Source organism: Homo sapiens, chromosome 9 (genome assembly GCF_000001405.40).
Source record: "Homo sapiens chromosome 9, GRCh38.p14 Primary Assembly".
NCBI lineage: Eukaryota > Metazoa > Chordata > Mammalia > Primates > Hominidae > Homo > Homo sapiens.
In genome coordinates this window covers 42,995,377-43,007,795 of record NC_000009.12, presented here as the reverse complement: position 1 = coordinate 43,007,795, position 12,419 = coordinate 42,995,377, and positions in this window count along the sequence as shown.

Genomic DNA, 12,419 nt, shown 5'->3' with positions numbered 1-12,419 from the left:
AGGCAGACTCCACCGGTTTTTTTACTTAGGAACTCACAGGGTGATACTGAAGATATGGCTAACTTTAAGTTTTTATCTGGAAACTAGGGGAAAAGTCACCTCTAAGCTCATTCAGGTTGTTGGAAGAATTCAGTTTCTTGTGATTGTAGCACTGAGGCTCACATTTCCTCTGGATGTCCACTTGGGATTGCACAAGCTGCTAGAAGGCACCCTTTGGTTCTTGCATGTGGCCCCTTTCTGTCTTCAAAGGCAGCAACAATACACTGAACCCTTCTTGTGATTCAAATAACTTTGACTTCTCGGGATGCAAGCCAGGTAAGACTCCTTTTTTCCTTCTTTTAACTTTTATTTCAGGTTCAGTGGTACATGTGCAGATTTGTTATATAGGTAAACTCGTGTCACGAGGCTGTGGTATATAGAACATTTCATCATCCAGGTACTAAGCATAGTACCCAGTATGTATTCTTTCTAAATCCTCTCTCTCCTTCTGCCTTCCACCTTCTAGAAGGCCCCAGTGTTGGTTGTTTCTGTCCATGTGTTCTCCTTATTTAGCTCCCACTTATAAGTGAGAACATGCAGTCTTTGGTTTTCTGTTCCCGCATTAGTTTGCTAAGAATAATGGTCTCCAGTTCCATCCATCTTGCTGCAAAGGACATGATTCCATTCTTTTTATGGCTGCATATATTCCATGGTGTATATGTACCACATTTTCCTTATCCAATATACTGTTGATGGGCCTTTAGGTTGATCCATGTATTTGTTATTTTGAATAGTGCTGCAATGGACATATGTGTGCATGTATCTTTATGGTAGAACAATTTGTTTTCTTTTGAATATATATCCAGTAATGGTGTTGGGTCAAATGGTAATTGCGTTTTTAGTTCTTTGAGGAATCACTACACTGCGTTCCACAATAGCTGAACTAATTTACACACCCACCAGCAGTGTGTAAGTGTTCCCTTTTCTCTACCACCTTGCCAAAATCTGTTGCTTTCTGATTTTTTAATAATAGCCATTCTGACTGGTGTGAAATGGTATCTTGCTGTGGTTTTGATTTGCATTTATCTAATGAGTGGATGTTAAGGTTTTTACATATGCTTGTTGGCAGCATGTATGTCTTCTTTTGAAAAGTGTCTGTGCATGTCCTTTATCCACTTTTTAATTAGGTTGTTTTTATTTTTATTTTTTGGCTTGTTAATTGGTTTAAGTTCCTTATAGATTCTAGATATTAGACTTTTTTCAGAAGGCTACTTCGCAAAAATTTTCCCCCATTCTTTAGGTTGTCTGTTTACTCTGCTGACAATTTCTTTTGCAGTGCAGAAACTCTTTAGTTTCATTAGATCCCATTTGTCAGTTTTTGCTTTTGTTGCGATTGCTTTTAGCACGTTCATCATGGAATCTTTGCCAGTTCCTATATCCAGAATGGCATTTCCTAGGATATCTTCCAGAGTTTTTATAGTTTTGGGTTTCACATTTAAGTATTTAATTCATGATGAGTTGATTTTTATATATGGTATAAGGAAGGAGTGCAGTTTCAATCTTCTTGCATATGACTAATCAGATATCCCATCACACTTATTGAATGGGAAGTTCTTTCTTTATTGCTTGTTTTTGTTGGTTTTGTTGAAAATTAGATGGCTGTAGATGTGTGGCATTATTTCTGGGCTCTCTATTCTGTTCCATTGTTCTATGTGTCTGTTTTTGTACTAGTGTTATGCTACTTGGGTTACTGTGGCCCTGTAGAAGAGTTTGAAGTCATATAATGTGATGGCTTCAGTTTTGTTCTTTTTGCTTAAGATTGCCTTGGCTATCCAGGGTCTTTTTTGAGGGCTAGGTGAATTTTAAAAATAGTTTTTTTCTAGTTCTGTGAAGAATGTTGTTGGTAGTTCTATAGCAATAGCATTGAATCTGTAAATTGCTTTGGGCAGTATGGTCATTTGAATGCCTAAATTTATTGAAGGTTATTTAACATGTAGCAGTGTTGAATGCATCTATTGTGATAATCATGTGGTTTTTGCTTTTTATGCATCTATTGAGATAATCATGTGGTTTTTGTCTTTAGTTTACATGATTAATCACATTTATTGATTTGCATATATTGAACCAACCTTTCGTCTTTGGGATAAGGTCTACTTGATCATGATGAATTAGCTTTTTGATGTCCTGCTGCATTCTGTTCACTAGTATTTTGTTGAGGATTGTTGCATCTATGTTCATCAAGGATATTGGCCTGAAGTTTTTTTTTATTTTTTTATTTTATTTTTTATTTTGCTGTTTCTCTGCCAGGTTTTCATATGAAGATGATGCTGGTCTCATAGAGGATGATGCTAGTCTCATAGAATGAGATTGAGAGGAGTCCCTCTTCTTCAATTTTTTGGAATAGTTTCGGTAGGATTTGTACCAGCTATTCTTTGAATATCTACTAGAATTCAGCTGTGAATCCATCTAGTCCTTGGCATTTTTTTTTTGGTAGGCTATTTATTACTGATTCAGTTTTGAAGCTCATTATTGGTCTGTTCAAGGATCAATTTCTTCCTGCTTCCATCTTGAGTGGATGTATGTGTCCAGGAATTTATCAATTTTTCCTACATTTTCTAGTTTGTGTACATAGAGGCGTTTAAAGTAGTTTACGGTGGTTATTTTTTTTTTCTGTGGGATCAGTGGTAACATCTTCTTTGTCATTTCTGATAGTATTTATTTGGAGCTTCTCCTTTTCTTCAAAGTCTAGGTATCCATATATCTATTTATTGATTTTTTCAATGATCCAACTCTTGGATTTGTTCATCTTTTTATTTTTTTTTTTTATGTCTCGAACTCCTTCATATCAGCTCTGATTTTTGTTATTTCTTTTCTTCCGCTAGTTTTGAGGTTTGTTTGCTTTTGCTCCTCTGGTACTTCTAGTTGTAATGCTGGGTTTTTAGTTTGATATCTATCATTTTGATGTGAGCATTTAGGACTACAAATATCCCTCTGAATACCACTTTAGCTGTGTCCCAGAGATTCTTGCTTGTTTTATCTTTTTGTTATTTTCAAAGAATGTCTTGATTTCTTCCTTAATTTTATTGTTCACCCAAAAGTCACTTAGGAGCAGGTTGTTTAATTTCCATGCAATTGTATGGTTTTGAGTGATTTTCTTTGTACTGAATTCTGTTTTTATTGCACTGGGTTTTTTTTTGTTTTTTTTATTATTATTATACTTTAAGTTTTAGGGTACATGTGCACAATGTGCAGGTTAGTTACATATGTATACATGTGCCATGCTGGTGTGCTGCACCCATTAACTCGTCATTTAGCATTAGGTATATCTCCTAATGCTATCCCTGCCCCCTCCCCCCACCCCACAACAGGCCCCAGTGCGTGATGTTCCCCTTCCTGTGTCCATGAGTTCTCATTGTTCAATTCCCATCTATGAGTGAGAACATGCGGTGTTTGGGTTTTTGTCCTTGCAATAGTTTACTGAGAATGACGATTTCCAATTTCATCCATGTCCCTAAAAAGGACATGACCTCATTATTTTTTATGGCTGCATAGTATTCCATGGTGTATATGTGCCACATTTTTTATTGCACTGTTGTCTGAGAGTGTCGTTTGTATGATTTCAGTGTTTTTTTTTTTAAATTTGCTGAAGATTGGTTTATGTCTGATTGTGTGTTCCATTTTACAGTATGTGTCATGTGGTAATGAGAAGAAAGTATATTTTGTCATTTTTGGATAGAGCGTTCTGTAGAAGTCTATTAGGTCCATTTGATCAAGTATTGAGTTCAAGTTCTGAATATCTTCATTAATTTTCTTCCTTAATGATCTGTCTAATACTGTTAGTAGGGTGTTGAAGTCTTCCACTATTATTTTGTAGAAATCTAAGTCTCTTTGTAGGTCTCTAAGAACTTGTTTTACAAATCTATGTGCTCCTGTGTTGGGTGCATGTATATTTAGGATAATTAGGTCTTTTTGTTTAATTCAACCTTTTACCATTATGTAATGACCTTCCTTGTGTTTGTTGGGTTTTGTTGGTTCAAAGTCTGTTTTGTCTGAAATTAGGATTGCCACCTCTGCTTTTTTATGTTCTCCTTTCGCATGGTAGATTTTTTTTCCATCCATTCATTTTGAGCCTATGGGTGTCATTGCATGTAGGATGGGGCTCTTAAATTCAGTATACCATTGGGTCTTTTTCTTTATCCAGCTTGCCACTCTGCCTTTTCTTTGAGGCATTTAGGCCATTTACATTCAAAGTTATTATTGATATATGTGGATTTGATCCTCTCATCCTGTTCTTAGCTGATTATTATGCAGACTGGTTTGTGTGGTTGCTTTATAGTGTCACTGGTCTGTGTACTTAAAGTTGTTTTTGTAGTGGCTGATAACAGTCTTTCCTTTCCATATTTACTACTCCTTTCAGGAACTCTTGTAAGGCAGTCTGGTGGTAATGAATTCCCTCTGAATGTGTTTGTTTGAAAAGATCTTATTTCTCCTTCACTTATGAAGCTTAGTTTGGCTCCATCTGAAATTCTTGGATGAAGATTTTTTTTCTTTAATAATGTTGAATATAGACCCCCAATCTCTTCTGGCTTGTAGGATTTCTGCTGAAATTTCTGCTTTTAGCCTGATGGGGTGCCCCTTGTAGGTGATCTGCCTTTTTTCATTAGCTTACTTTATCACTTTTTCATTCATTTTGGCCTTGGAGAATCTGATGATTATGTGTCTTGGGGATGGACTTCTTTTTTAGCATCCTGTAAAGGTTCTCTATATTCTTTGAATTTGAATGTTGGCCTTTCTAGAGAGGTTGACGAAGTTTTCATAGATGATATCCTGAAATATGTTTTCTAAGTTGGTTGCTTTCTCCCCATGCGTACAGCACACCACAGCCACCATTTAGAGAAAAGCCCCATTTCTTGCTGCTATGGGCCCTTGACCCCCTGTTCCCCAACAAGCAGAGCCTCTAGCTCAGGCAAGCAGTGCAGCTGCTTCACCCTCTGGCTGAACACTCCCAGTAGCAGCAGCTCCACATTTCTCAGAGATGGAGCTCCCAGGGGCAACCAAAAGTCCCTCTGCCACTGCCTCTCCAGTTTAACTTCCCTGTTTACCCTTGAACTAGGGAAGGAGCAAAGACTCCGAGTGCTTTATCCCGCAAGTTGTAGTTGCTCTAAGGAGAGGAGACCAGTCTGTCTCCCACGGGTCCTACCCACATTCTCTGCTAGTCACCAGACAGGATCCCCCCAGCGTGGGCTCACAGTGCAGCTGCCCCATGCCAGGCTGATCATGCTAATTGATTGCAGTTCTGCATCTTTCTGCAATGGAGCCCCAAGTGACAAGAAAAGACGTTGAGCCACAGGGTCTCCTCTGCTGCTTCCAAGCTGGGGAAGTAACATAAAGCCTATGATCATTTCAGAACTATGGTGTGCAGCCTGGATGCACCAAGCCAAGATCTGCAGTGAGCACTCAAGTGGGAGAGGAGCCTACACTGACTTTCAAAACATTGAGAGGAAGCATAGCTGCAACCCATGAGGAAATACGGAGGAGCCACATGACTGAGCAGGAGCCTACACAGTGACCATTACACTTCAGCACCAGCTACTAGATCACACCCCAAAACTTCAACACCAATAATACTTTGCTATCATACCCTGCTGTGAAAAGAAAGACAAGAATTTAGCTACAAATAAAGGCCCTAAACAAAGCCTTAGGACTCTGAAAACATGGAAAGAAGTCTACTGACTGTACTCAATTTACACTGCAATTAAAGGAACACCCACACACACACACACAGATGAGAAAGAACCTATGCAAGATCTCTGGCAACTCAAAAGGCCAGCATGTCTTCTTTCCTCCCAAAGATCACACTGGTTCCCCAGCAAGGGTTCTTAACTAGGCTGAGATGGCTGAAATGACATAAATTGATTTCAGAATATAGATAGGAACAAAGATCATTGAAATTCGGGGGCACATCGAAACCTAATTCAAGGAAGCTAAGTGTATTAGTCTGTTATCACCCTGCTATAAAGAACTTCTGAGACTGGGTAATTTATAAAGGAAAAAGATTTAATTGACTCATAGTTCTGAATTGCTGGGGAGGCCTCAGAAAACTTATAATCATAGCTGAAGGTGAAGGAGAAGCAAGTAACTTCTTCACAGGGTGGCAGAAGAGAGAGAGAGTCAAGGGGGACAGTCACTTTTAAACCATCAGATCTCATGAGAACTCACTCACTATCATGAGAACAGCACGGGGGAACCACCCCCATGATCCAATCACCTCCCACCAGGTTCCTCTCTCAACACATGGGGATTACAGTTCCAGATAAGATTTGAATGGGAACACAGAGCCAAACCATATCACTAAGGAACAAACACAAAAAATAATTCAGGTGCTGATCGGTGAAATAGCCAGTATAAAACAGAACCAAATTGACTGGCTAGAGTTGGAAAACACACCACAAGAATTTCATAATGCAATCACAAGTATTAACAACAGAATGGACCAAGTTGAGGAAAGGACCTCAGAGCTTGAAAACTGGCTCTCAGGAATAAGACAGTCGGGCAAAAATAAATAAAATTTTACAGAGCTCATTGTATTAGATTAGGTACACTTGGATAATCTTCCTGTTTTCACATCAACTGATTATTAACATTAATTACATCTGCGCAATCCATTTTGCCATGTAATACAATATAATCATCAAAGTAACACTGGGAGGCTAAGGTCATGACCATCTAATATTCTGTATACCACACAATTGTATTGCTTTCTGAGGTCATTGAACACTTTCAGAATTCATGAAAGTTGGATACTCACTATAAATAAGATAGATATGGCTAGCAAGAAGAAAAATATAGGGATTCTATACTTAAAAGATACAGCTATTTCCATTTATATAATTGTCACAATAAAAATTTAAATGTGAATAAGTGAATAACAAGTATAGAAAGTTTAGCAAAATAATGAGAATTAGATATATAAATGAATTTTTAAGATAGTCTCAGAAAAAGTGTAATATTTGTCATTTATCCTGAAATGTCAAAAATTTTCCTAAGCAGAACTACTCACCACCAATTTCTCAGTTTCATCCCTGAAAAAAAAATCATTCAAGTGGATTTATTTTGGCAAAGTGAAACTGTGAATTGCTTGGCTCCAGAACAGCTGCCCATACTCAGCAGGACTGCATTCCCACACTCCATTCACCCTTACCCCATCCCTTCCAGGAACACTTGGACTAGGATCCAGCTCTAGATCTGCAAGAAGTTGTGTTCCAGCTCTTAAATCATTAGTAGGACCAGATTTTACTCAAAAAACTATTCTAGCATTTGAAATTATTTCCACTGCTTTGTTGCTTACACTGAAATCGTCCCTCAAAAAATATAAGAAATAGAATATGAGCCCTGCTTATTCTTTAGGACAAAATTTAGGATGGTGTATCTAATAAATGGATTGTAATTATGAAGATGGTTTTACATTTGTCCCTAGATTCTTCTGTTTTTCTCAGGCCTCTATGAATCTTTCTCTCTGAGAGATCCCGACTTGCTGAGAGCAAGAACTATTGAAAGGAAATGAAGTAAATAACTGATGGTTGCCCATGGCAATTAGGAAAATAAAGAGCAAACTTCCCTCTTTGAATATTACTTAGTGTCAAGACTTAATTATACTCATTGGTTATACAAGTCTAAATATTTGGGCACTTGTATTTTTGTATTTGGGCATATGATATTACAAAATAATTTTGAGAGCTAAGAGACATACGTATGTATTTTAGAACTCCAATAGCAGTAACTTTCTCAGTAGCATATAGTTTTCCAATCTGTTGGAAAAAGCTTGGCTTCAACTAGGAGAGATAAGTAATAGAGCTAGAGTTTCAATTCTGTTCAATATGAATAATAATATTTCACCAGTAAAAATTAAATATGTATAATCATGTGACACTTAGTAATACTGATATGATCTGAGAAATGCATTATTAGGCAATTTTGTCATTATGCAAACATCATAGATGTTTACAAAACCTTGACAACATAGTCTGCTACATATCTAGGCTACATGAGATATAGCCTATTGCTCCTAGGCTACACACCTGTACAGCGTGTGACTATACTGAACATGTAGGCAATTGTAACATAACGGCAAGTATTTGTGTATTTAAACGTATCTAAACATAGAATAGGTATAGTAAAAGTACAGCGTAAAAGATGGAAAATGTTACGTCTATATTGGGAACTTACCATAAATGGAGCTTGAAGACTAAAAGTTACTCTGGATAAGTCAGTGAGTGAATGACGAGTGAATGTGAAACCCTAGGACATTACCGTATATGACTGTGGATTTTATAAAAATGATACACTTAAGGACCATGAAATTAACATTATCTTACTATACCTTTTAATCTAATATATTTTAACGCTTTTATATGTTTCAACGCTTTGATTTTTTATAATAACATTTAGCTTAAAACACAAACACATTGTGCAGCTATACAAAAATATCATCTTTTATAGCTCTGTTTTATAAGATTTTTTCCTTTTTCAGCTTTGTACACCTTTTTGTTAAAAAGTAAAACGCAAACACACACATTAGCCTAGGCCTACACACGATCAGGATCATCGATATAATTGTGTTTTACCTTCACACCTCATCCCACTGGAAGGTCTTCAGGGGCAATAACATGCATGGACCTGTAGTCTTCTGTGATAACAATGCCTTCTTCTAAAATATCTCCTGAAGGACCTGCCTGAGACAGTCTTACAGATAATTTTTTTTAATAAATAAGAGTATACCCTAAGATAACATTAAATAGTAAAGTATATACATAAATGAGTAACATAGTAATTTATTATCATTATCAAGTATTATGTGTTGTACATAATTATATGCACTATTCTTGTCTATGATTGGCAGCACGATAGGTTTGTTTATATCAGCATCACCAAATGCACTTGAGTAATGCATTGAGCTTTGAAGTTATAATGGCTATTATGTCACTACATGGAAGATATTTTTCAGCTCCATTAGAATCTTATGGGACCACTATTTTAAATGCAGTCTGTCATTGACCAAAGCATTATTATGTGGGGCATGACTGTAAACGTTTCAAAGAAATTGGTTTTCCCTTTCATTCTATTACTGTTCCACCACTAGCTGTTTTGTACGTTTCTCTTTCTGTGCTGTTCCTTAAATGTAGAACTCCTCTAAATGTATTTCTTTTATTTATCCTGTCCCAGAACAATCTCATTAACATTCCTTGGAAATGTTTCCTCTCATCAGGAATGCTCTTCTGAGGCCTGTACCTGAATGACCATTTGTCCCCATTAAGACTCATTTGGGGGCAAGTAACATAAATGGAAAAAAAAAGTAGACTAAAGTAACTAAGCCCAAGGGTAGTATGATTTAAGCTAAAGGTGATTTCAGGCTCCAAGTAAAGTAATCAGGGTTCAGCTTATCTCCATTTGTTATCTCTTCTTCTAGTGGGTTGGACCCATTTTCAAAGAATCCCTTCCCTTACATAGCAGTCCATATAGAATCTCACTTCAAATACAGTTTAAAGAAAAAAAAAATTATCTTCAAAGGCAAAAGCAAAGTCTGGAACCAGATTTCCATTGACCCAGCCTGGATGCTGGTATTGGATGCTCTATTACGCTTAAGTGAGATAAATAGCCATTTCTGGCCCTCTTTTTATTTGTTTACAATGCCCCACTTTGGAGAAATGCTGGAGTGCATTTAAGAAGGTTCTATTCATGAATAGAAGAATCTCAGTTGTATAGAAAATGATTTATTTGAAATTACCTGCTATAAAAACTTCCCAGGCTCATTGCTTTTTGGATCAACTCTGTCTCTTCTACTTCCTTGTACTGCTGTCTGGAAGAACCCTGGCTCACAATGGTGCAGAACTTTTTATCCTGATATCTGAAGTAAATTGATCTGAGTTTATATTAGGTTGGATCTTAGTGCCCATATTATCTACTGGGAGTTTCCCAGCCTGGTATGATGGAGCTTAGAAGAGAGTAAATTAGCTTTTACAAGTCAGTCTCTCAATATTTATTTAGTGAGTGAGTGGACAAATGAATGAATATTTCTTGGAGGTATTATTCATTTTGTGTTCCCTTCATACTTCAAATTATTTTTTACCTTTAGTAAGAAATGGATACTGACATGGCTTTAATGAATCTCCTCCAAAATTCAAGTGTTGCCAATGTGATAGTCCTAAGAGGTCAGGCCTTTAAGAGGTGTTTAGGCCATGAGAGATCCTCCCTCATGAATGGGATGAGGTGGGTCTTGACAGAGAGAGTTGGTTCTCTCTTGCCCCTTCCACCTTCCACCATGTGAGGATGCATCAAGAAGACCTCAGAGCCTGGTATCTTGATCTAGGACTTCCTAGCCACCAGAATGGTAAGAAGTAAATTTCTGTTCTTTATAAATTACTCAATCTATGGTATTCTGTTTTAGAAGCACAAAATGGCCTAAGACACGTAATTTTACCCTTTCTAAATCCAAATTGAATGCAATTTTATCATAAAGTTTTATCATTTCTCTAATAAAAATGTTTTTAAATTTTTTGAAAGTCCACAAATGCATATATATTTACATGCATATCTATATGAAGGTCCAACTTTGATTCTGCTTTGTTTTGGCTTTCTTTTTTGTATTACTTTTCTCCAAAGAGTAAAATACACACTTGTTTTATTCTCTTATTCCTACAACACCTAACATAATTCTTACTAAAAAACATTATTTAATGAAGAAAATTATTATATAATACATTTTGTTGATACATTATTTTCTACATATTATGTGTCAATTTTGTTCCTTACTATCCTCAGCTGGAATCCATTTGAAGAGACAGAACTGTATTGTGTAGATTCAAGCAATACATAGTAGGATACCATACATACTGTAGGGTTTGGCTCTGTGTCCCCACCCAAATATCACCTTGAATTGTAATCTCCATAATCCTCATGTGTCAAGAGCAGGACCAGATGGAAGTAAGTAGATCATGAAGGTGGTTTCCCCCATGCTGTTCTCATTATAGTGAGCGAGTTATCTTGAGATTTGATGGTTTTATAAGCATCTGACATTTCCCCTGGTTGCACTCATTGAGTCTTGCCACCCTGTGAAGAAGGTACCTGCTTCTCTTGCATTCTGCCATGATTGTAAGTTTTCTGAGGCCTCCCCAGAACTGTGAGTCAATTAAACCTATTTTCTTTATAGATTACTCGGTCTCCAGTCTTGGGTATGTCTTCATGGCAGTGTGAGAATGAACTAATACTCATATAATGGATACTAACAAGTAAATCTTTATTTACCACTTATTAGAAGCTTGACTTAACCAATTATCAAATTTTATATAAGCTTTAATGTTATTGGGAAATATCCTTTTCCTGTAAAAATAAATGAGATTACCTACCTGAAGTACCTTAGGCCTTTCTAATATTTTCAATTTTCAGTAAATGTTTATTTTTATGTATCTATAGATATCTTGAATATGTATTGTAAATATTATATGTATGTAGAATATATGTATTCTAGTATTTCTTCCAGATAGCACTTAAAAACCAGTGTTTGCATTTTTGCATGTGAGCAAGCAATTCCTACTTACAATGATGGAAGAAATAGATACCCTGGAAGAAGGAAAATTAAATTCATGCTTTCAAAGCATCCTTCCCAACAAATCCAATTCATCTTTTGCACAGAAGGAATAATTAGATGAAGATATATTTTAAGTCAGATTGTTAGTATTTTGGCCACATGGCTACATCAGAAGTGTAGTTTAGAATTCTGTTCATTTTTATTTTTTTAAATCAAAACACTCATTGAACTGTACTTAATTTTTAAATGCAAAATACATAAAACTCTTGCATTTCTTGGAAACAAATTCTCTTTATTCTACTAATAAATAAACATTGTTACCACCATTGAGGCAAATGACAGAAATTCTTACAATTGATTATCCTATATGGGTATGAAAACTTTAACATGCTCCTCTAAGTAACTGAATACTACAGAGTGATTTTGGATCAATGTGGCCTTATTTTGAAAATAACATACAACACCATTGAGTGTTTTATGATTTATCTTCATTTTAACTCAATCTTTGGGATATATGAAGGCAGAAGATAAAATGTGTCATGTATTATATTTTCTGAAGTTATTAATATATATTTAGCAAAAGGTAAAATAGCACAGATATACCAACCAAATTTTCATGTGAAGAAAATATTTTATATAAATAATATTTCTTCTTTTATATGAAATCGCTGCAAAAATGAGAAAGCTACTTTTTATATTCCCCAATGAATATTCCCCAGTCCTGTGATTCCAAGTTCAGAAAAATTTAGAAAATTATGGCCAAGAAATTTAGTAGACTGAATGTACTTTCACTTTCTGGAATGTACTTGTAACCTTACATTCACAGTTAGAAATTTGCTTGAATGAAAAATTGTTC